The following is a 24,919-nucleotide window of genomic DNA, read 5'->3' as shown; positions in this document are numbered from 1 at the left end:
GTTTAATATCTCTTTAAATGTCTATTACATGTGTATTTCCTTTTCTTTTGTCCATTTTTTTCTATTGGGTTTTTGCTGTATTCTAAAGGATTATAAGTGTTCTTTATATTTCTGAGTATTACTATTATATCACTTACATATATCACAAATATTATCAAGTTTACAGCTTATCTTTTCACTTTATCACCTATTTTGAAAAATAAAGTTGTTAGTTTTAATGTAATCTAATTTATCAATCTTTTATGTTGAGCATTTTATGTGACATGTTTAAAAATCCTTCTCTACACCAAGGTCAGAAAAATATTCTCCAATATTTTCTTCTAAAATTCTTAAAGTTTTGCTTTTGACATTTGTAATTTAAATTAATTTGAAACTGATTTTGTGTATAAGAGAAAACAGGGATCTAATTTTATTTTTTACATGTGGTTAACCAATGCATAGTCCTTTTCACTACTGATCTGCCATACCACTTCTATTTTACAACAAAATCATTTACTTATTTATAAATAAATTTAGGGGCTATTTTGTTCCATTGGTCAGTTTGTCTATTTTTGTGTGGGTACTATACTTTCTCAATTACTATAACTCTATAATACATTATAATCCCTGAAAGAGAGAGTACCTATTTCTTCCTTCTCATCATTCCTTAGCTGTTCTTGACCTTTGTTCTTCCCCATAAATTTTAGAATCAACTTGTCAAGAATTATGTAAATCTTCATTTGGAATTTGAGTGTAGTTGCGTCAACTCTGTAGATCACTGTAAGGATAATTAACATATTCATGATAGTAAAGCTTCCTATCTAAGAACATGGTATAGCTCTTCATTTAATTATGTCTTCTTTATCTTTTCTTTCCTATAACATTTTGTGTAACGCTTATATTTCTCTAGGTGTAAGTCTTTCACATATGTGTTAGATTTATTTCTAAGTATCTTATGCATTTTAAATCATTATTTTATCAACTTAATTGACATATAATTTGCATACAATTGTATCTCAATAAAGCGCACACATTCTAAAAGTACAGTTCAACAAATTTTGACAGATGTATGCTCCAATCTAATCACCACTGAATGAATCTAGTTCATTATTTTTTGTTGCTGAATGATATTTTATTGTATGACTATATCTCAATTTGTTTATCCATTCATCTGCTGGTACACATTTGGGTTGTTTCCAATTTAGGGCTATTATAAATAAAGCTTCTATAAAATTCATGTACAAGTCTCTGTATAGATCTGCTTTTATTTCTTTTGAGCAAATACCCAGGAGTGGAATTGCTGCATCATTTGATAAGTGCATGTTTAACTTCATAAGAAATTGCCAAACTGTTTTCCAAAGTTGCTCAATCATTTTACACTCCACAAAAGTTTCAGCTGATTCACACTTGGTATTGTCAGTCTATTAAATTTTAGCCTTCTAAAGGAGGCAAGAAGCAAGGAGGAAAAGAAGACCAGAGAAGGGAAGGGAAGAGCAAGACAGCAAGGGAAGCAGAAGGTTGAAAGATGGTTGGTGAGAGGCTATCCTCTTCGTGGGTTCAGTCAGGTCAGAATCCTCAAACAGAACATGCCCATGGGCTACGTGCCACTCCTCTCAATAGCCTTTCTCAGCTTGAGGGCAGCAGGGGCCAAGGAAGAGAGATTCCCACACAACAAGAAGTAAGAAGTGGGAAGCAGACAACGTGGATCAGGGTGGGTCAAGCAGTGGCGCCCTGCCACCAGGCTGCACAAGGTCAGGTAGGGCCAGCTGGGACCCTCGCAAGGGTGAGAGGCTGGGCTGGGTGCATCCTCAAGCTCTGCCAACTTAACACTTCCTGTAGCTGCTGCCACAGGCCCCATCCCACAGGAGCTGATGCCGCAGGTGCAGGTGGCCAAGAGGCCCCCACAGGCAACCCCACCAAGGAGCTGCTCACACCTGCACAGAGACAGCCATAAGAAGTTAAACCCTTTGGTCGGGGTGGGAGCTGGTCCCAAAAAGCCCCACCTCCAATCAGCACTGGCTTCCTACCAGCTGGGAGCAGCCAGGAGGATGGCTTCTTCTCACCTCCATCTCCAGGGGTGAAGATGGCATTGCTTCCCTGTAGTCTGTGCGAGGGACTGACACCCTGACTAGGAGGGACTCCATCTTGGGGTTTAATCTCAATCCCTTCTTTTTTTTGTGAGATGGAGTCTCACTCTGTCACCCAGGCTGGAGTGCAGTGGCACGATCTCGGCTCACTGCAACCTCCACCTCCCAGGTTCAAGCAATTCTTGTGCCCCAGCCTCCCAAGTAGCTGGGATTACAGGCACGCACCATCATGCCTGGCTAATTTTTTGTATTTTTAGTAGAGATGGGGTTTCACCATGTTGGCCAGGCTGGTCTCAAACTCCTGACCTCAAGTGATCCACCTGCCTCAGCCTCCCAAAGTGCTGGGAATACAGGTGTGAGCCACCACACCCAGCCTCAATCCCTTCTTTCTGTAAATATGAGCTCTTACTATATTGCCTGGGCTGGTCTCAAACTCCTAGGCTCAAGCAACCCACCTGCCTCGGTCTCCCAAAGTTCCAAAGGGATTACAAGGGTGAGCCACCGTACTCGGCTGAGACCCTGTCTCAAAAGAAAAAAAAAAAAATCAGGATGACCTTAGGATCCACAACATGTGGATTTGATTACAGCTCATTCAATCCACATGTATTTAAAGAAGATTAAATGCATGTTTTAATCCAGTAAAGTGACTGACATCTTGAACATGGACAAGTATGTTTGGACAGGGAGAGAATAAGAGCTTCCTACTGAAGGGGAGAAATTATAATTTTCCTCAACCCACATAAATTCGTAGTTGAGACAGACTCCTGCAACAACAGACAGATTAACAAGAGAAAAACAAGCAAGTTTACCAACAGGAGCAGTGCACGTCATGGAAGGAGAAAAGTAACAACCAGGGACTCTACATGAACAAACGGACTGGAGAATGAATGCTGAGATCCAGGAAGGGCACACACAGGCTCTGTGGCTTATGTAGTCATTCATCGATACTCATGGGGGACTGGTTCCAGGACACCTGCAAATATCAAAATCTGAAGATGTTCATGTCTCTTATATAAAATGGCATAGTATTTGCATTTAACCTATACACATCCTCCCATATACTTTAAATCATCTCTAGATTACTTATAATATCTAATACAATGTAAATGCTATGTGAATAGTTGTATTGTTTAGGGAGTCATGAAAAGAAAAAAAGTCTGTGCGTGTTCAGTACAGTTTTTTTCCAAATATTTTCAACCTGCAGTTGGTTGAATCCACAGATTCAGAGGGCCAACTGTATATTCATCTTCGACAAGGAATAATCAATTTTAGAGAAATGACAAGACAAAGAAAAGCAGTTTAAGGCTTCCAAAAGTGAGAAAAGGTGGGAAGGTAAATTTATGGATAAACTAATGGAGTAAAGTCTACCCACATTCCTCTGGCGCCACCTCTAAGCTCATAATGGTTGTAAGGAGAATTTACATCTTGGCTTTAGGCAGGAAAGCGGAGAGGATAGAAAGACCTTTGTCTCTATATGTCATGGGAGGGACCTGGTGAGAAGTGATTGGATCACTGGGGCAGTTTCCCACATGCTGATCTCGTGAAGATGAGTGAGTTCTCATGAGATCTGATGGTTTTATAAGCATCTGGCATCTCCCCTGCTGACACTTCTACTTCCTGCCACCTTGTGAAAAAGGTGCCTTGCTTCCCCTTCACGTTCTGTCATGATTGTAAGTTTCCTGAGGCCTCCCCAGCCATGATGAACTATGAGTTGATTAAACCTCTTTCCTTTATAAATTACCTACTCTCACGTATGTCTTTAGAGTAGCAAGAGAACGGACTAATACACTATCACTACGAAAAAAAATAGAAAAAAATTAGCCAGGTGTGGTGGTACACACCTGTAGACCTAGCTACTCAGGAGGCTGAGGTGGGAGGATGGCTTGAGCCCAGGAGGTCAAGGCTGCAGTGAGCCATGATCACACCACTGCACTCTAGCCTGGGTGACAGAGTGAGACCCTGTCTCAAAGAAAAGATATATATTTATGTCAAAGATACATATTTTGAGGTGACACATTCTGGTTCCTTCACTATGGTGAGGATAATAAGACTGCCACTCTGACAAGTCTGGCGTAAGGAATGATTCCACTCAAGACTTGTCAATTGGCTCCCTCTTTGTAGCTGTGCAGCTGTAAATGAATGGAACCACTTCCTTGGTATTTCCACCCTCAGAGCTAAAAAATTCGTCCCACTGGCAAACCTCAGAGTCTCCCTTCAGGGCCAGAATTACTCACAGATATTCACAGCACTGATGCCATCACACAGCCTGGTGCAGGAGAGAAAAGGTCAGCTTTAGCACTGGGCATTAATTCCTGACAATGACACCAGAGACCATGTGGTCACCAGCTCTGAACTCAGTCAACCAAGAGGTCACCCAAGCCCTTCCCAGAAAGTGAGAGGAGGGAAGACCTGGGTCTAGCACCCTCAAAGGCCCAGCATCGTCCCAACCCTGTCCCAAAACAACACAAGTGCCAGGCTCTCCCAGATCCCCCCAGGAAGTGGAGCCTGTGAAAATGCAGCAGGACACAAAAGAACTCTCCAACTGTCCCAATAACTCCACACCAGGCGGACTCCCCAACCCCCACAGTCTCCCTAAGCCTCAGGTTTTTCATCTAAGAGAAGAGACAAATATCTTCCTATTTGTCTTTCAGTGTGAGACACCATTCCATCCTAGCCCCAACCAATGTTGTTCTTGAACCAGCTCCCACCAGCTCACAAGAGCCTATTGTGCACATTTCTAGCCAATTCTACATGAAGTCACAGCAACAGCCTGAAATCAGCCATGACAGAAGTATATACAACTCTGAAATCGGTAAGTGTTATAAATTAGGGCATTGTTTATCTCAGAGAACAAGTTCTCTGAGACAAACCATTGTCCCTAATAGATCATGCAAGGAGCCTATTGGAAATCGGCCTGTGGACTCAACTAAGACTCCGCTCCTTGGACTGTGCTCAATACCAGTAGAGGTCCTAAAAGGGTTCCAAGATGAAAACAGAAGTAGTAGTGAGGGCTGGGTAAGTGATGGTGCTAAAAAGTGGGGCAGGTCTATGCAGATGAGCTCTGGGCCCAGCTCTGCAGGCTGCACCCACCTCTGCTCCTCACCATCTAGAAGGTGGCAAGAAGAGGCAGCCTTCACATTGAGGCCCAGCTTGGAGTTCATCACCTCCTGGTACTGCCTGGCCTTCTGCATGGTGCCCTCCAGCTCAACCAGCTTGCAGCGGTTATCGCTAAGGGCCACCTCACCCTGCTGCTCAGACTGGGTCACCTCCACCTCCAGCTTGGAGTTCTGGGGGACCAGAAGAGAACAAGATAGGTTACGGTCTCTCTGTCCATTACCTGGATATGTCCAGTCTGCCATTCAGCTGGGAGCACCTCAGAAACAGGCCTCTTGCCTTCATCATCCTGGCACTCCCTGACTGACCACAACCAGGGACTCTACATGGACAAAGGGACTGGAGAATGAATGCTGAGATCCACGTAGGGCACACATAGGCTGTGTGACAAAGGTTAGGCCATAAGTCTCTCTGGCCTTGGGCACAGATGCCCCATACCTGGCACTTGGCATTCTCCACCTTGGCCATCAGCCTCTGGATCATGTGGGTCAGCTCCTTGATCTCCTCCTTGGTGCAGCCCACAGTCTCCCCGTGCCAGATCACCGTGGCCTTCATCTCCCCGAAATGGGGGAAGCAGAGATGCTCCTGAGGCTCAGTGTGGGATATCCCTTCCTTTAGGGATGATTGTGCAGGTTGTGCAGTGCTCAGCCTGTGCAACCACACATGGCAGTCCTGCCCTGCCACCCCAACCTGAGAGCTATTGGCCTACTATCCAGAATCCCCAGGCAAAATAAGTCTATCTAATAGGTATCTCACATCCTGCCCTCCCAACTGCCACATCTAGCAGGCAGGTGCCACATCTGGCAGGCAGCCATGGTACCAAGACTCAGCCTTGGCCCAGCTGCAGGTGACAATGTCGTCATACTGTGCCTTGATCTCGGCAATGATGCAGTCCATGTTCAGGTCCTGGCTGTTGTCCAGCTTGACAACCACAGAGGTGTCTGAGATGTGGGATTGGAGAACATGGATCTCCTGCAAGAGGTGGGGGCAGTGACTTAAGTTGAGAACATAGCTATAATTTGAACAAATAGTTGCATTAGGGATGTTGCTGAAGTTGGCCAATAGGTGGACTTTGTAGGTAATGTAAAGATTTGAGTTTGACATGACAGATACAACACTCCGTCAAGTTACTCTCAGAAGGTTGGGCATGGCGGCCTACTCCTGTAATCTTAGCACTTTGGGAGGCTGAGGCAGGCAGATCACCTGCAGTGAGGAGTTTGTGACCAGCATGGCCAACATGGTGAAATCCCATCTCTACCAAAAAAAAAAAAAAAAAAAATACAAAAATTAGCCAGTGTGTTGGCGCATGCCAGTAATCCCAGCTACTTGGGAGGCTGAGGCATGAGAATTGCTTGAACCCGGGAGACAGAGGTTTGCAGTGAGCCAAGATCACACCACTGCACCCCAACCTGGGCAATAGAGACTCTGTCTCAAAAAGAAAAAAAAAATTACTCTCAGAAGCTACTGATTATGAAATTCGAATTACAGCATTATCCTGCCAAGTGAATGAGGAAGGCGTAAGCAAGGAAAAAATTAAGAGAGGTAAGAGTTGCATGACGGCAGAGAAGTCTTGATCCATGGTCTTGGGAAAGCTGTCCACATCTAGAATACTGTCTGTTTCTGGGAAGAAACTTCTCTGCTTGGCTTTATCTTAAGGTCTCCAATGGATGTGCAGTTCTAAGAGTCTGAATGGACCCTTTTGAGTTGCGAGATGTAGACCGAAGGTCCAAGGCCCTGAAGTTTTGCTGAAGAGTGGGTGATGAGAAGAACTTGATATGGCCCCCTCCAATGGGGCTCAATGGCAGTCTTTCTCAGATATCGTCTCCAGATGACCTGATCTCTGCATTCTAGATTGTGAAGGGTTTGATTGTCCTCAGTTGATAGATCTTGAAAAGCTTCCTTTACCTGGTGAAAATATACTTTGGCATAATGCATTAAAACCTTGCAGCATTTAGTTATGTCAGAGTTTAGGGGAGTAGAAAATAAATGAGTTCTATTATTAGGGCATAGGCCTTCCAGTAGCTATTTCATAAGGGATCAATCTATGATGTATTATAGCAGTGGTCCCTATTACGGAATTAGACTTCCAGACTCATTTGTTCTCATGACCTGTTTTACTTTAACCCAGTCATGTGATTCAAGAACCAAGACTAATGAGTATATTGCAAGGCAAGTTTGCACCAAAATCCCAAACAGATTTTCTTGCAAATTGACTTATGTGCCAGGGTACTATAGCACTTTTTTTTTCCTGAGACAGAATCTTGCTTTGTCACCCAGGCTGGAGTACAGTGGCGCAACCTCAGCTCACTGCAACCTCTGCCTCCCAGATTCAAGCAATTCTCCTGCCTCAGCCTCTGGAGTAGCTGGGATTACAGGTGCGTGCCACCACGCCAAGCTAATTTTTGTATTTTTAGTAGAGACGGGGTATCACCATGTTGGTCAGGCTGGTCTCAAACTCCTGACCTCGTGATCTACCCCCGCTCAGCCTCCCAAAGTGCTGAGATTACAGGCGTGAGCCACCGCGCCTGGCCAGCACTCTTTTAACCTATAATAACTGTACCTCAGATCCTTGGCCAGAAACTGCTAATTCCAACATTCCTAGTTGGAATTAGGAATACATGCCCTATAAAACCTTGCAATAGCCTATAAGCAGGGCTGCCTCCTCTGCTTTTGTCAGGAGGTAGCCCGGCAGGACTGACAGTAAATCAGCTTGCCTGAACTTGGGTCTATTGGCCTTATTCCTTTCTCGGCTGTCCTTCCAATTATCCCTTACAAACCTAACTTCAGAATTTTCCTTTGTAACAAATAGCTGAGTCTCAGCCAATCACAGTAACTGAGCTTCAGTCAATCACAGGCAGCCAAATGTTCACAAACACCAGCTGCAAACAATCCAGCTGTTACTTCTGTTTTCCATGTGTCACTTTCTGTTTTCTGTCCATAAGTATTGTGGGACCGCAGTGCAGCCAGAGTTCCTCTGATCAGTTCTAAGGGCTGCCCAATTCTAAAATTGCATATAAAATCCAACTAAGATCTTTAAACTAAATTCATTGAAATTTTGAAATTTGGCATCTTTCCTCCACAAGCTCTCCGTATCTGAACTGTCAGAGTATTTCTGGGCCTTGGGTGCCTCTGTCTGTCTGTCTGTCTGTCTGTCTGTCTGTCTGTGTGCCTCTCCCATCAGACTGGGACCTCAGGCACGCAGGGTCTTGCCTGCCTCTGATTCTTTCCTCAGTGCCCAGTCCTGGTTGTGCACATGGTGGGGGTTCAGGAAGGGTGTGATCCAGGACACCCACCTTGTGGAGGAAGGCAGTAAACCTGCTGTTGAGGCACTTGATCTTCTCCTCCTCCTGCTTTATGCACTGTGCAATCTCCAGGTTGAGGGGCATGAGGAGGCTCTCCTTGATCAACACAATGGTGTTACAGGCAGTGCTGGGCCCGCATGTGCTGCCAGAGTGGTAGCTGAATCTGTGTCCACAGGAACCAGTGCCAAAGCCCCCAGTGAGGCCATGGTAGCAGGGGCTTGCCGTGATGCAGCAGCCACCAGACCAGGGCCCGGAGGGCAAGATGCAGCTGAGGGTGGGGTCATAACCATATCTCTGAGTGGCTGCACAGGACCTGGATTTGCAGACTCCGCTCAGGAGCCTAGGCAAGACAATCTACAAGTCATGGCGACTCTCTGCTGGAGGACATGAAGCCAGAGGAAGAAGAGGACTCTGACCTTTCCCTCACTGCTAGCACCTTTTATAAACCCAGGCACCTGGGTCTGTCTGCCTCCCCATGTGGAGAGGCCATATTGTCACTTTTATGAGCTTGGGAAATTTCACAGTCATTTCTCCTCCCTCCTGGGGTAACATCATCAATATGGGGCTTTGGAAAATCCTACACTCAGGCAATTCTGAAACATTGGCAGCATTTCTTCCACAGCTGAGGGCTGATGGTGTCCAGGAGTCAAGGTCAGCCAAAACCTGTGGACTCCACACTTTGTGAAGTAATTGTGGAGCCAGGGGGAAGCCAGGTTGGGACACTTCCTTTCAGGTGGTTAGCTGAGCTCACAACCTCACAGTTTTTCAGTTTGGGCCATCAGATGAGCTGCAACCAGGGACAAAGGACAGGCCATCCTCACTCCGGGTGGTAAGCCCTGGCTCCTTCAAGTGGAAGAGACTTCCAGGGGCTCCCCAGGAAGGGCCCTAGGGCTGAGTCCTAAAGGCAGCCTGTGACACCTGACTCCTGGCATGGCCAGTAGGAGATTGTGTCTACCTCTACCAAGACATGGAAGAGTCAACCATACAACCAAAACAGTTTTGTTCAGCTCTTCTTGCCATAGGAGCCATGAAGTGGGTATGTGGGGGTTCAGTCAGGCTGATGGGAAAAATTTTAGTTATAATAGCCACAAAGCCTCTTGGAAGGCCTGACAGTTGGCATAACTTCAGTAATAGATCTGGCTGAAGGCAGCCTAGTCCCTTTTCCTTCAGTTAAATAGATTAAAAGTAGATACAAAGGAATGTGGGAGAGTTTATCTAACTAGCTTGTTTACTCATGTAGTCCTAAGACTAACCTTTGATCTACAGTGGGTGCTTAATTGCTTTCTACTCGGGAGGTCCACAAGGTCAATTACCCTCTAGTGGCATTGACTCAAGACTTTGTCAATTAATCTTTACTGAATAAATGCGAGTCTCACTGGCTAGTCGAGGCCATGGTCACAACTGTTTACCGCACTCTCCAGGGAGTCTGTAAGTGGCCCGGACTCTCAGCTGGACTGACAAGCATAATATCTGCGTTGGTGCATGTTATTCATCCATCATTGGGTCAGGGTCTGCCAGACAGACCCCCGCATGGGTGGATGTGTGTAAGCATCTGGTTGAGGGTTCGAAGTATCTGGATCCCTCTGCCTGCCCACCCACCTCCCTTCCTTCCCATGTGCCTTTAAGATTCCTCACCCCCACCCAACGGTGTCTCCCACAACTCCACCAGAAGCACAGGGCCACACTCTCCAGTCTCTTGCAAAGGCTCCCTCTTTATCAGAGATACCCTTCAAGAAAGCCTGTCCCATCAGCTTTGAGACAGGCCCACAGGAGCCTAACTGAGGCATGGGAGTGGGGGTCCCCAGCCAGGAGAGCAACAGCGTGGAGGAGGCCACAGCCCCCAGACCTGAAAGAGCAGGGCAGGGGGCTGGGGGGCTCTGGATGGTGACCAGGACAGTGAAATAACAACAGCACTCAACAGTGGCTAGAATGTACAGACCACTTACTATACAGCAGGCAGCATGCTAGTGCTTTACATACACCTCACCTGATCCTTGCCATGTCCCTGGCAAGTTATATTACCTCAATTCTAGATACAAAAGAAACAGAGACTCAACGGGGTTATGTGCAAGTTTTCACCCACATTGTAAGTGGCAGAGCCCAGGCGTGTCTGATTCCAGAGACACTTTTGATCACTATACCATAAAGAAGGAAGAAATGTATTTCTGAAATGGACACACTGGTGTTCAAGATGTTTCAAAACAAAGTTACCAGAAGAACACACATGCTCGTGCGCACACACACACACTTTTACACATATACACTCTCTGTGTACTATCCCCATGTTCCGTTCACTCACACACCTCTGAGCATGGCCCTCTGCAGGTCAAGCACCTCCAGCACTTCGCTTGATATTCTGAGCCTATCCTGCCCATCCACCATATTCACCATGTGGCCTCAGCCAGCCTCCTTCCCCCTGCTCTCATCAAACCCTATTTTTCAGCCAAAGCAGATGACCCACTATTCCCTTCACATCCTCTGGCCTCCCTTGCTTTGTGTCTTTGCTTACACCATTCACTCTGCCTGAATCCTCCCCTCTCTCATCTCAGCATTTCCAAGTCCTCACCTTCTTCAGGCCAAACCAAAGTGTCATCTCCAAGAACCCTGCTCTGACCCTTGGTCCCAAGCTCCCATGGCATGGTGTTGCTCCACTATAGCCAGACCCCCTTCAGCTTTGCACTAGGGTCCTCTGTATGCATGCCTGCACTGCCTGAGGACTCCAGTCTCTCCTTCATGCTCTGAGCCTGGTTCCTGATGGTATTCAGTAGATGTTTGCTTCCTGCCTTGAACTAGCCCCTGGGACCCACTGGGAGGTTAAAGAAGAGGCATGATAACCCAAACAGGACATTAGGTTTTCACTGATAGACTGGTATATTGGTGATAAAAGGGGCGGGGGGATGTTTTCTAGAAGATCTGGCTGATGATGAAGAAGCCCTCCTCTTCCCTGGCACTTGTGACAACCAACCCTCTCTATGAAGAAGTATGTCCTTAATTGTTTCTGAAATTTCTCAGGTTTCAGCCTGTTTCTCTCCCCTGAGTTCCAAGAATAATAAACAGACCACGAGGGATCATGTTTCCCTGAGGCTGGGCCAGGGATTAGCATTAACATTGTGGAAGACCACTGTGATCCAGATGTCAAACCTCTCCATTCCAGCCCCTTCACATTGTTTTCTTAGCGGGAACAATGCAGCCTGCAGATCTTCTGTTTCTCTGGATTTTAAATGCACATAATTATCTGTGTGGACAAAGGCTGATTATTAACATCCTCATTGATTGTAATAGCATAGAAAGTCCAGTCTATCCACCCACCAGAACCCAGAAAGGGGTCCAAGCAAGAATCATGTAAGTGCCTCCACAAGTCTAATTTAAATCTTCCATGCTCCAGGGTAAGTCCAAATCCTCTCGTCCAGGAGACACCAAGGGAACACTCCTCCAATACTACTTATTCTCAAAAGAAAATTGGAATCGAAATACATAATCCTGAAGCCAAGCATTAGTCACACAGCTGGTGACTGACACAGCAGGAGCACTGTCATCTCGGACAAACACCACCACTTTAAGTTCCAGCTCCCTTTCTAGCCTCATGCATTTCAAGGAAATCACTTCTCTTCTAACTACAAGCAGACAGAAAGAGCGGGCAGTAAAACACAGATAAGACAGCTTGGGCACAGAGGGAAGTAGGAGGAAAGTCTTGTGGGTAACCGCCAAACTTCACCCTCATACAATGGGCCCCAGTAAAACAGTGGGCCTTAATAAGCACGTTCCTTTCCCTTCAGGTGCACTAAGATAGAGAAGCTAAAAGCAGACTCGGGGGATATGCCTGAAGCTGCAGAAAGATGTATGGGAACAGACACACACTTCTCCCTCCCAGATAAGCACAACAAAGACACAGAAGCAGTCCAAGCCTCTTCTAAACTCTCCCACCCTGAATCCTTAAAAAAAAACTCTTAGTCTGTAAGAGATGTGCCTCTGACCTAACTCGGCCAGACACCCCTCTTAGGTTTGTTTTCTCTAAAATAAACCTGTCTTGACTGGCAAGCCACCTTTCATGTTTCTTTCGTCTTTCTTTAATTCTTACACTGACTCCCAGCTGAAGCCGGGGCAGGGGCACAAGCCTGTGGGGTTGGGCTCCAACTTCTACAGAGGACTGAATGAAGGTTGGCCTTAAACTGCTACAAAACAGACCAAGGCTGGGCCAAAGGAATCCAAGCCCATGAGAGTGCAGAAAAGACAGGAAAAGGGGTAAGAGGAAATGCGATGCCAGGCAGCTCAAAGCCAGGACTGGCTGTGGTGACCTCTGGAGTTCTAAGATTTAATTACTGCTTTCACAATAATAACTCATATTTAAAAGCAAAGGAAGCCGAGGGTGATTTGCATGCTTCTCTTTAATGCTGGCTGCTGAGTGCACACTCCTGGTTTCCTCTGCCAATAATTGGACACATAATTAACTTCCTTTATAATGGATTATGGCCTTCTAGAGTTGGTGGCCATGACCAAGCCTCAGTTGAGGGGAAGGCCTTGGATCAGGCCGATTTCTCCAAGGGCCCAAAGCCCAGCAGCAGTCTGTGCTCCTGCCGCCAACAAGAACTCAACCCTCACTCAGCCCCCAAAGATTCAGACCCTGGGTGAGACCATTGTGGAGGAGGGCTTGGAGGAGGGGTGGCCTTTCAGATTCCAACTCTGCCCCTCTATGGATCCTTCTATGCATGACCTTAAACAAGTCACTGGACCACCCTGAGCTCACCTTCCCAATCAGGTAAATGGGCACAATAATACCAAACTCAGAAGGACGCCCTGGGAGCTAGAGGAAATAATATGGTATAAAAAGGCCTCAGCACAGTACTAGGCACATTGCGGGCACTCCATGAATAAAACTCCCTTCCCCTCGCCCAAGCAGAGTGGAGAGGGGTACAGGAAGGAGGGACGCTTACGAGAAGAGGAGGTATGAGCTGAGTCCTGAGATAGAAGAGAAGAGAAAGTTTTTGCCCAAAGGGACACAGGATGAATGATAAATTAACAATAGAATAAATAGAACAAATAATGAATAAATAAACATTTACACAGTTCTTATTAAGTGATAGGTAGGGCCCTAAATGCTTTCTGGTCATTATCTCATTAGATCCTGGCAACGGCTCTCAGTGCTTACTATTATTATCGCTATTTTGCCTGTGAGAAAACTGAGGCTCAGAAAGGTTATTCAGCTGCCCAAGGTCATGACATGAACCTGCGGGACTGACTTCAGAGGCCCCACACTCTCGACACACGCACACACTCGCCCCACACACGGTGCCCGCTGCGGGGGACCGGGGCTATGGGACTGGGACCGAAGTGGAGGCCGGATCCAACAAGGCAAAGCTCGGAGTCCCGGCGGAGGGGCGGACAGGTGGAGGGGTTCCACTCGCACTGACCGCAGCGCACGGGCAGCGGGGCTGACCAGGCGCTTCCCGGCCCCATAAAACTCGGGCGGGAGGCGAACGCCGTTTTATGCAGGCGGCCGGGCGGCCTGGCTCGCTTTCATTCCCGGCTCCGCGAGGCGCGAGGGCCGAGCCCTCCAAGCTCGTAAACGCCTTGGCCGCGAGCTCCCTCCCCGGGCCCGCGGGCCGTCATATAAGGCGCAGCGCCGGCTTGGGGTCCAGCCGCCCGCCCCTGCCGCCACCGCACCATGTCCTGCCTCTACTCCCGCCTCAGCGCCCCCTGCGGGGTCCGCGCCTTCAGCTGCATCTCGGCCTGCGGGCCCCGGCCCGGCCGCTGCTGCATCACCGCCGCCCCCTACCGCGGCGTCTCCTGCTACCGCGGCCTCACCGGAGGCTTCGGCAGCCACAGCGTGTGCGGGGGCTTCCGCGCCGGCTCCTGCGGACGCAGCTTCGGCTACCGCTCCGGGGGCGTGTGCGGACCCAGCCCCCCATGCATCGCCACCGTGTCGGTCAACGAGAGCCTCCTCACGCCCCTCAACCTGGAGATCGACCCCAACGCACAGTGCGTGAAGCAGGAGGAGAAGGAGCAGATCAAGTCCCTCAACAGCAGGTTCGCGGCCTTCATGGACAAGGTGGGTGTCCTGGATCACACCTTTCCTGAACCTGGAAGTCCTGGAAGGAGATGGAAATTCCCAGTGGTCTCTCTAGAAATGGGGAATGAGGATGGCTGATATTTTATATAATGTTAGGCGGTGCCGGCCCATCATATTAAATAACATTGAAACACGTGGTAAGAAAATACATCTTCTTTAATGTCTGTTTCAATCCTTAAGATTAGGTGGGAAAAAAATATCACTGGATGCTAATGTTTTTAGCATCTCTCTAATACTTGCTTCCCTCCTGCTTCTAATAAAGAGAGCAAGCCCCGGCTTCAGAACTGTCTAGGACAACTGTTTCTACTAGAATTTAATGATCTGTAATTTCCCTTTATGTATGCCTAGTAATGATGGTTTTGCATCTCTGGTGGCCATATGAAGTTACTCTTTTAACCCCATACGTGTAAATGTTAATTGAATCCACTTATAGATAAATTAGGAGTAAAATAGTATATGGGATGGCAAAATCCTGAAGTCAGCCTTGGGTGTACACAGAAGAGAAAGGAGGCAGAGAGAGGGTGAGGGGCTGGCCCAAGGGCCCACAGAGAGTGGGTGCCAGAACAGGGTTCCAAGCCCAGGCCCTCTCCAACTCTCCAGCCCCTGGGCTAGAAGGTCCACAGCTTGGGATCCCAGCTGCCCCACTCCCTCTAGAAGGGGCTGGTTCACCTCAACAGGCACTGCACGCTGGAGAGGTGACCCAGGAGCGGCTCGTGGAATGGACACTGGCCCAGGAGCAGGCCACCTGGCCTCCATGCTCAGTTAAGTTCCTCTACTGACGCATTGTGTGGCACTGGGCAGAGGCTTCCCTTCTCCACCCCAGTGGCTTCCTCACCAGGGCTGTGTGTGGTGCAGTGTGTGAGCTGGCCATGACTCTGAAAGGGAAAATGGGGCCCAAGGCAGCCATGAGACCCCATAGCCAGGACCACCTGAAATTATGCCATGTAATATCAGCAGTCCCCACTCCCCATGTCTGCAAGTTCCAACCTGGGAATTCCCAGCTGCACTCATGGAGTTGGATGAAAAGGACCCCAGGGCTTAAAGGCAAGGAGACATCTCAGCTCCAGCTCAAATGTACGAGAAGTGGAAAACTGGAAGCCAAGGGCCCTAGTTTGTTTGCTGACATCCTTTCTGGCCAGCACAATGTATTGTTGCCATGTGTTCCTCCAGTTTCAGTGAAATCCAGGAAAAGCGTACAAGCCTCACTTCCCTAGGGTCCTCACCCTCTCTGTTTTCCAAAACCTCCCCCCATTCACATTACATATGTCTGGCCCCCAGAGACATATGACACAGTGTCCAACATAAGAATTTAGGCCACCTAGGACCATGCCCCACACTCCCCGATGCCTCTTCAGGCCCCAGGCGTCCTGCTTGGTAAGAGCCTAGCCTCTATGACCTCCCCAGCTAGGAAGCCCTTCCCACCTTGACCATCTGTTCAATCAAATGTTCACCAAGCCAAGGGCTGGCTATGAGGACATCAATAAATAAGCCATAGGCCCTGCCCTGAGGGAGCTTATAGTGAGAGGCATTCTCCCTACTCTATCCCTCCCAACACTGCTCTACATTCCTTTCCTCCAGGAAGTCTTCCCTAATTGTCACTACCCCCTACCCCCATCTGTCCGCCGCTAGCCTGACAGTAACCCAGCACAGCCCACAGGCCTCTCAGTCTGTCGCTCATCCCATCCAGGCCCACCTGGACAGACCCTCACTTAGCCCTGAATAAGCAATTATGAAACAAGGATTCTCCAGCTGCATCCTCAGGCCAGGAGAGACCAGCAGGGGCCATGTGGTCTACCCCTTGCCTCTGCACATCTTACTGCCAGTTCTGTCTTGACTCTGGCTGTTCCCCAAGGAGGGCTGGGGATATTGGCTCCTCCAACCAACATTTCTCCCACTTCCACACCAGGTGCACTTCCTGGAGCAGCAGAACAAGCTGCTGGAGACAAAGCTGCAGTTCTTCCAGAACCGTGAGTGCTGCAAGAGCAACCTGGAGCCTCTGTTTGAGGGCTACAACTCTGCGACGGGAGGCCGAGTGCATGGAAGCCAACAGTGGGAGGCTGGCCTCAGAGCTCAACCACGTGCAGGAGGTGCTGGAGGGTTACAAGAAGAAGTAAGTGCAGTGGGAGGAGGGTTTGGAGAAATTAAATGGGATTAAGTCAAAGTATGATAGATTTGGGTTCGACCATAAGAGGAACTTCCCAACAGGAAGAAAATAGTACAATAATCCTGTGGGGTGGGGGGAATTTCTTTTCTAGACTGGGAGTTTAAACATTGGAGATTCTGAACTGCTCCAGCTACTTCATCATTATGTTTATTTCATTAATTCATCAAACATTTTATTGAGCATCTACTCAATGTTGTAGGTGCTATGTTGGGCTCTGAGTGGGAAAGGAGTAAGGAAGTAAGAAGGAGGAGAAAGGAGAGGTACCAGAACTGGGCAGGGTTCCTGCCCCAAAGGAGTTACAGCCCAGAAACAGAGAGGAGGTCTTCGAAAATGTGCAGGGCCCCCACCCTGACCCACATCAGGAATGAAAGTCCCTGAAATAGAAAGAGCTTTGAGTAACATGGGTTGGTTTGAATGCCCAGAAGAAAGGGATGGACAAGTTCCCTTCAGTCCAACACTTTTTTGATTCTTGTGACCACCTCCAAAAGATCCAGTTCCCGGAATGTGTTTGCCTGTGCCTTCATTCCCATTTTTTTTCCTCCCCAGATCTGAGCCTTGTGTGTTTTGTCCCCAGGTATGAAGAAGAGGTGGCACTAAGGGCCACTGCTGAGAATGAATTTGTGGCCTTGAAGAAGGTGAGTGACCCCAGAATCCTTGTCCCCTAACTCAGAATGGAGGCCAGAGACAGAAGGGTCCTAGACCCAAAGGTTTGAGCTGGGAGACCTTGACTAACATCAGGCTCTCTGTAGTTCGGAGAGGTGGAGGGACTCCCTTAGAATCACACGGCCCAGCTTCTTTCTGTTCCTTTCCCCAGTGCTCCAGTGCTCCCTGGGTGCCTCTGGCAGCAGAATACACTGCCTGCTTCAGGCAGGGCAATATTCTCCCCCATCTGAGGTTGCTGCCATATAGCCACCAGATTTTCACCTCCTTCGGCCCTGCGCCTGGCATAGAGTAGGCACCCTGTAAATATTTGCGAGTGAAAGAGCAGGTGAATTATAGACAATGGCTGCATCCTCAGGCCAGCAACAGCTCAGAACCACAGGCAGGGGCAGTGACCGTCATTCCTTGCCTCTTAGACTTGACTCTGTACAAGTGCCTGGACTCTCATTAGGCCCTTCCAGCCACCTCCATATGAGGAAAGCAGGGGTTATTGTGAGAAAATGAGGTGCAGAGGTTAAGGGGGCTGCTCAGAGTGACACTGACTTGGAAGGGACAGAGTTGAGCCCTGAGCCCTCTTCTGACCACAGATCTAGATTATCTTCCATGAGATTCCAGAGCGGAGAGGGGTGGGGCATCATTAGAATTTACCCACTGTACACCAGATCTTAAGTTTTGGTGATAGTGCATGACATGGATTCTAGAGAAATCATCCCAGTGGGTGCCAGAGGAAGTACCTGCAAACCTCAGTGTCCCCCTCCCTTACCCAAACCTGCTCTTGACGCCACTACTAACTGTATAAGGGGCTTCACCAAGGCATGATACCAGGCACTGGGATGAGCACGTACAGAGGGTTTCCAGGGAAGCTGCTCAGCCTGATGGGGTGCCCCTCCCTGGTAGGAAAAAAACAAGGGTTCTGAATTGTCTCCCAGTGCAATTCCTGTGCCACCTTCTCCCCTTTAGGATGTGGACTGTGCCTACCTGCGCAAATCAGACCTAGAGGCCAACGTGGAGGCCCTGACCCAGGAGATCGACTTCCTGAGGCGGCTATATGAGGAGGTGCGGGGTCACAAAGCAGCGGGGCAGCAAGGAGGATATGAGTTAGACATTGGAAAATACTTGTCACCATTCAGCTTCTGACCCTATGGTGGGACAAGGGGAGAAACCCCAGGCAGGTTCACCATGAGCAGGTGAAGAAGTGTGGCTTGACCTCCCACTGCCATGCCCCAGGCAACCTGGTGTTCCTGGTTACTAAAGTGACAATTGCCACAAGGTGGTAAACTCTGGTCCTAGACCCAAAGGTTCAAGCTGGAAGGTCCTGATTAAAATCAGGCACTGGGCCTCAGACATGGACTCTCTACCTCCAAGTCCTCTAGGCTCAGGACTCTGGGCTTGAGGAGTCCTGAGGGGGTCCCAGGGTTGAGGTGGAAGACTGTAACTGGGAGGGTGGGGCTTCAGACATCGAAGAAGCAGGGAAAGGGGACAAGGGATGATGATGAGGGTGGGCTACCAAGAGTAGGGCTCTGGTCTAAGAAGCTCTTGCCACTCCCCATCTCCTGCAGGAGATCCGCGTTCTCCAGTCGCACATCTCAGACACCTCAGTGGTCGTCAAGATGGACAACAGTCGGGACCTGAACATGCACTGTGTCATCACTGAGATCAAAGCTCAGTACGATGACATTGCCACCCGCAGCCGGGCCGAGGCCGAGTCCTGGTACCGCAGCAAGGTGAGTGGCACAGGACACCTGCCTGCTAGACATGGCAGTTGGAGGGATGCAAGGTACCTATTAAATAGGCTTCCTTTTCTGGGGATTCTGGTCCCTACGGATGGGAAGATAAGGGCTGCCTCTCTGAGGTTGGGGTAGCAGGGCAGGACTGCCATGTGTGGTTGCACAGGCTGAGCACTGCACAACCTGCACAATCATCCGTGGTGTCCTGAATGGATGGGAGGTCCCACCCTGAGCCTCATAAGCAACTCTACTTCCCCAGTGTGAGGAGATGAAGGCCACGGTGATCAGGCACGGGGAGACCCTGCGCCGCACCAAGGAGGAGATCAACGAGCTGAACCGCATGATCCAGAGGCTGACAGCCGAGGTGGAGAACGCCAAGTGCCAGGTATGGGAGCCCAGCCCACCCCTCAGTGTAGGAAGAGAGTGGGGTTAGCCCTCAGGAGAGGGATTTGGGTTAGACCCCTTGCCAGTGTGTGGGGACAAGGGCAAACACCCAGCATGAGGACAGACAGCCTCCTCCATGGAAAACGTTCTCCATTCTCGCTGAATGGAGGCATTGGGGCAATATGGAGGGAATGAGGTGCTTCCAAGGGCAGAGTGGGGCAGAGGAAATAGCACCAGTCTAAGGGGCAGGAAACCTGGGCTCTCAAACAAGCTCTGCCACTAGTTTGCCATGAGACTTGGGAAAGGCATTTAACCTCTCTGGCCTGTTGTTCTAGATCAGTGATCACACATTCAGACATCAATGGGGTTAGTAAATGAGCGAAGCAAGCAAGCTGTTCCCAAGGCACTTGGGTATGATAGGGACTATGGTAAACTGGAAAGCACAAAAGGCAGGGCTAGGCAGATCCAACTGAGGCAGGCCATGCAGAAATGCAGGTCCAGTGTGGCCAGATCCTCTGATCTTTTGAAAGAAGCCAAGAATTTCAATTATTGTGTTAAATTTCCAAAATTGAAGACACTGTGCAAACATGCCTGGGAGCACTAATTTGCAACCCCTGGCCTAACAAATAGACAAGGCCTCTTTTTCTTCTGCTAGTCAGTGGTCAGTGGTTACCTGGCCTCTGACCCTGAAGCCAGAACAGAGATCCTTAATAACCCTCCCTTGCCTCCCAGAACTCCAAGCTGGAGGCCGCGGTGGCCCAGTCTGAGCAGCAGGGTGAGGCGGCCCTCAGTGATGCCCGCTGCAAGCTGGCCGAGCTGGAGGGTGCCCTGCAGAAGGCCAAGCAGGACATGGCCTGCCTGATCAGGGAGTACCAGGAGGTGATGAACTCCAAGCTGGCCTGGACTTTGAGATCGCCACCTACAGGCGCCTGCTGGAGGGCGAGGAGCAGAGGTGAGGACCACAGCTGTGGGGAGGGTGTCCCCTCAGTTTCCCCCAGGCAGTGCTGCAGTGCTTCAACACCCAGGAGCATGTCTGCATATTATTTACTTGGAATGTGCATCAACGCTAATTGGAGGAGAGAATTTGCAGGTTAAACAGATTTCACCAGCTTTGCTCCCCACAACTAATTTCTGTCTCTTTGCTTTCCCTATAAGGTTGTGTGAGGGCGTTGGTGCTGTAAATGTCTGTAAGTAATCCATTTTGTGGGTCCTGAAATAACAGCTTGGGGTTCTGGGCAGGCAAACTTTTTCTTAGAGCTTCAGATAGTAAAAACTTTAGGCTCGTGGGCCATGTAGTCTCTGCCTCAACTGCTCCACTCCGTTGTCATGTAAAGCAGCCACAGCCAAAGGCAATACTTGAAGGAAGCGGTATGACTGGGTTCCAAGAAAACTTGATTGACAAACAGGAAGCCTGCATGTGGCCGTAGTTTGCAGACTCTAAAAGGAAAGATGGAGTGGGGCAGTGAGTGCTTATAGTAACTTAATTAGCTACAGTCATGTACCACATAAGGACTTTTAGGTCAAGGATGGATGGAATATAGGACAGTAGTCCCATTAGATTATACCATATTTTTACTCTACTTTCCTAGGTTTAGCTATGTTCAGATACACAAATACCTACCATGGTGTTACAGTTGCCTTTAGTCTTCAGTACAGTCACATGCTGTACAGATTTGTAGCTTAGAAGCAACAGGCTATGCTATAGGGTAAACTTGTCAAACCCCTGACCAGAAGGCTGCATACAGCCCAGGACGGCTTTGAATGTGGCCCAGCACAAATTTGTAAACATTCTTAAAACTTACGAGATTTTCGTGTGTGTGATTTTTTAAAGCTCATCAGCTACCGTTAGTATTAGTGTATTTTATGTGTGGCCCAAGACAATTCTTCTTCTTCCAGTGTGGCCCAGGGAAGCCAAAAGATTGGACACCCTTGGGGCCTGGGTGTGGTGGCTTACACCTGTAATCCCAGCACTTTGGGAGGCCAAGGCAGGTGGATCACTTGAGGTCAGGAGTTTGAGATCAGCCTGGCCAACATGGTGAAACCCCGTCTCTACTAAAAATAAAAAAATTAGCCGGGCAAGGTGATGGACACCTGTAATCCCAGCTACTAGGGAGGCTGAGGCAGGAGAATCACTTAAACCCAGGAGGCAGAGGTTGCAGTGAGCCGAGATCGCGCCACTGCACTCCAGTCTGGGCGATAGAGAGAGACTCCGTCTCAAAAATAAAAATAAAAAATAAAAAAGGTTGGCCACCCTCGCCACAGAGCCCAGGTGTGTAGTAGGCTACAACATGTAGGTTTGCGTATGTGCACTCCATGATGTTCGCACAATGACAAAATCATTTAATGCTGTATTTCTCAGAACATGTCTCTGTTGTGAGGCGAAGCATGGCTATGTCTGCCTATAGAGAGGACCTGGGCTAACAGTGTATCAAGGACGCCTGAGGCTAAGACTGCAGGAAGGAGTGCCCATGTGAGGGTTTGAGGGGCGCGCATAGAAACAGAGGGGAGAAGCTCTGAGCAGAAGGGGCCTCTGGCCGCCAGGAGACTGGGCCCTGTCCTCCCCCTCTGGCAGGTGTCAGCAGCTCTCGCGGCGGGGTCTTATGCGGGGACCTGTGCGTGTCGGGCTCCCGGCCGGTGACGGGCAGCGTCTGCAGTGCCCCCTGCAGCGGGAACGTGGCGGTGAGCACCGGCCTGTGTGCGCCCTGCGGCCAGAGCAGCGGCAGCGGCCGCTCCGTGCGCTTCGCCTGAGCGCCCCACTTTGTACCGACGCCGCCTCACCAGCAGCAGCCTCTGCCTCCAGAGGCAGCCCGGAGCTCCCACGGTCCCCAGACGTGGGGAAGGAGGGCTTCGGGGCCCAGCCTCCCCATCGGCCCCCACGCCGCGCCTTCCTGTCTCGCATCCCCGCCCGCTAGTCCCTTCACTGCTTCCGAGAGCACAGGGCTCCTAGCCCGCAGCTCTCCCAACCCCCGAATCTAAAGGACTGTCCTCGCAGCCCTAGGTAAAGACCCCGGTCCGGAGGCCTGGATGCCTGTGGCTTCTGAGGGACAGATGGGCCTGGAGCCCCTTGGTGTGGACTTGCTGTGCCTTCTAATCCAATGTCTTCTAATACACGTGCAGGACAGGCCACCTCTCCTGCCTGGCTGCCTGGCTCCCTCCCTCTCCCCTGTGCTTGTCTCAGCATTTCCAGTAAAGCTCCTGATCATATGCATTGTGCCCTGAGAGTCTCTCCTTCCTCTTGCCCACTTGGTCTTCTTAGTCGGGAGGGAGAGGGCCTGGATCTCCTGACACCTTGGGTGGGAACCCCATCACTGTGGCTGCTGGTCCACTTTTTCCACTCTCCACCCCAGCCCCCACCTCAGCATTTGAAAGTTCCCTGACCATAGGGTCAAATATACAGACTTCCTCCCAGAAGCCAACACATCCCACATAGCTCCCCCATCCACACCACCACCATCACCCCTGGGGTCCCAGACACAGAGACCTCCCTGTGGCTCCACAGTACCCATCATATGTGCTGCTGCCCATCAGGGACACATTTCCCCATGCATAGGCCCTGCCACAGAACACCTGCCACACTCACAGACACACAGACCTGTGTGTCGGGGACTCTGACATAGAAGCCCCCATCAAGCACTGACTTAACACAGATGTCCTTCCCCACTCCCATGGATCCAGATACAAACCCATCCCTCCACTAAGGTCCTAGGCACAGACCTGTTACCGGGGATCTAGACTCTAGGACCCTCCTCCCATGCACACACACACCTCCCCCCCACAACCACTACCTCCACAGAATTCAAGATGCAGAGGACCTCTCCAGGGCCCCAGGCCTGGCTGACCATGAGCCTGGCAGACCCAGCACCAGGAAGGGCTGAGGACGGCTGGCATGAAAGTTGGCTGGGCCACCCGAAACTGGAAGCTGGGGCAGCTGAACGTCTGTGGCCTCCTCACAAAAGGAATGTGCTCTGGCAGCTCTGGGCATGGGGGGAGGGAGGCAAACAGCCTTTCCACCCCCTTAGCAGGGCAGCCCTCCAAGGCCCAATTGCTGGCAGAGCCTGCATTTCCCCGTGGCTCTTCTGGGCTTCCTCAGGAGAATCTTTGGGATCAGCCCCAGACCTGGAGGCCAAGGCTCACCCTAGGTAAGCGTCCTGCTCCTTAGAGCAGCACCCCATCCCACCATGTGCCTTCTCAGTCTCCTGCACAAAAGGCTTCCTAGTCACCAGGGAGACCCTGCCTTCTCTAGTCCCGTCTTTTCCCCTGCCCAGCCTCATGAAGCCAGGATACCAGGCACGTGGATCACTCAGGCCTCAGAATGAGGCTGCTTTATTGGAAGCTATTCTGACATCACTTTCCAGACTGTCTCACTGTCTTGGGACCAGGCATGGGAGGCAGGGGTGGGAATCTTCTTGTGATTGTGGGTGGTGGCTGGAGGAGTGGAGTGGTGGGAGGCGGCTCAGTCGCGGGCACTCCTGCGACTGGCGGATGCGGTCCGGATGGAATAAGCCTTCAGGAGCCCAGGACCCGCACTGCTGGAGAAGCTCAGGGCATTGCTGCCCATGGTTCCCCCGAGGGTCAGCCCAATGCCACCGCCACTGCTACTGCCACCAGTGGAATTCATCACAGCTGGGAGAGAAAAGAGGAGGGCTCTCTTCAGCGTGAGGCTCCCTACCAGGGACCCCATCCCTTCACTGCACCCCACCCTCCTGCCCCAGCTGCCCCTCTCCCTCACCCCTGCCCCCCTCCATGGGCCAACCCAGAAGGAGCATCTGACAGGGGTAGGGCTGCTCCCCAGGTGCTCCTGGCCCCACCCTGCCCTCTTGTAGTGCTTCCCAGGCCATTGAGCCTGGCAGTATGTGCTCCAGGGGACCTGTCAATCCCTGTAGAAAGGAAGGAGTCTCCTGGCCCCTCCAGCAGGGCCCTGGGCCAGTCTGCCATTCTCTAGACCCAGCCCCATCTAAACAGCACAAGGGATGCTTCCCATGGGCCGCAGCCAAGGACTTACAGATATTCACGGCTCCCACTCCATCTCCAGCCAACCTGGGGGCAGAGGACAGACAGTGAGGACGGCTCTTTCCTAGCGTGGGAGGGAAGCGCTCTCAGCCCTCTCTCCTTCCAGGCCCCAAGCAGGATCATTGATTTTTCCTTCTTGCCCCACACTTCCAGCCTGCCTTCAGCCTTGTAAAAGGAGCGAGGAGGCATGCAGGAAGGGAGTGTTCACCTTGGCCCTTCTATCCACTGGCCACCTGACCCCAGGCAATGTCTCAGGGCCTCCATTTCCCACCTATGCCTTGGGCCCAACTACAGGACCAAATTCATGGGCCTGTGAGGGTTAAATGACATAATCTGTCTAAAGCCCTGAGCACCTGGGATTCGGTGAATGGTAGCTGTATGTGTTATTTATGTAGATGGCTGCCTTTCCTCACCGTATCATAAAA

General features: G+C 50.1%; 1 protein-coding gene and 2 pseudogenes across 4 annotated transcripts in view, besides 3 other annotated features; 1 reads left to right on the top strand and 2 right to left on the bottom strand.

The window, feature by feature from the left end:
• KRT88P (keratin 88, pseudogene) lies at positions 4,201 to 8,917 on the bottom strand (annotated as a pseudogene).
• Positions 14,190 to 22,154, top strand: KRT87P (keratin 87, pseudogene; annotated as a pseudogene). Its single transcript, NR_146088.1, has 9 exons — positions 14,190 to 14,528; positions 16,456 to 16,659; positions 17,288 to 17,348; positions 18,334 to 18,429; positions 18,933 to 19,097; positions 19,360 to 19,485; positions 20,217 to 20,436; positions 20,640 to 20,671; positions 22,057 to 22,154. The product of NR_146088.1 is annotated as a keratin 87, pseudogene (transcript).
• Positions 16,845 to 24,919, bottom strand: part of KRT7 (keratin 7) — a 22,611-nt gene continuing 14,536 nt past the window's right edge. For 2 of the 3 annotated variants that reach the window (NM_005556.4, XM_017019294.2), the window contains 2 exons: positions 24,487 to 24,521; positions 23,777 to 24,107 (listed from right to left, as the gene is read on the bottom strand). In NM_005556.4, the coding sequence (NP_005547.3) occupies positions 23,938 to 24,107; positions 24,487 to 24,521 (205 nt within the window). In that variant the 3' untranslated portion in view covers positions 23,777 to 23,937. Of the gene's footprint in view, positions 20,922 to 23,776; positions 24,108 to 24,486; positions 24,522 to 24,919 lie in introns of those variants that run through there. The other variant, XM_011538325.3, reaches the window with a different exon arrangement.
• Positions 19,761 to 20,261: an enhancer, noted in NCBI's record as "H3K4me1 hESC enhancer chr12:52646221-52646721 (GRCh37/hg19 assembly coordinates)". NCBI's record gives its function as "activates a minimal SCP1, AML or CMV promoter by ChIP-STARR-seq in primed H9 embryonic stem cells {active_cell/tissue: H9 hESC(primed)}" and the evidence as "EXISTENCE:reporter gene assay evidence [ECO:0000049][PMID:30033119]".
• Positions 20,262 to 20,762: an enhancer, noted in NCBI's record as "H3K4me1 hESC enhancer chr12:52645720-52646220 (GRCh37/hg19 assembly coordinates)". NCBI's record gives its function as "activates a minimal SCP1, AML or CMV promoter by ChIP-STARR-seq in primed H9 embryonic stem cells {active_cell/tissue: H9 hESC(primed)}" and the evidence as "EXISTENCE:reporter gene assay evidence [ECO:0000049][PMID:30033119]".
• Positions 22,292 to 22,898: an enhancer, noted in NCBI's record as "H3K27ac-H3K4me1 hESC enhancer chr12:52643584-52644190 (GRCh37/hg19 assembly coordinates)". NCBI's record gives its function as "activates a minimal SCP1, AML or CMV promoter by ChIP-STARR-seq in naive H9 embryonic stem cells {active_cell/tissue: H9 hESC(naive)}" and the evidence as "EXISTENCE:reporter gene assay evidence [ECO:0000049][PMID:30033119]".

This window comes from Homo sapiens, chromosome 12, assembly GCF_000001405.40.
Source record: "Homo sapiens chromosome 12, GRCh38.p14 Primary Assembly".
Classification (NCBI taxonomy): domain Eukaryota; kingdom Metazoa; phylum Chordata; class Mammalia; order Primates; family Hominidae; genus Homo; species Homo sapiens.
This window is presented reverse-complemented; position numbering and strand designations above follow the sequence as displayed.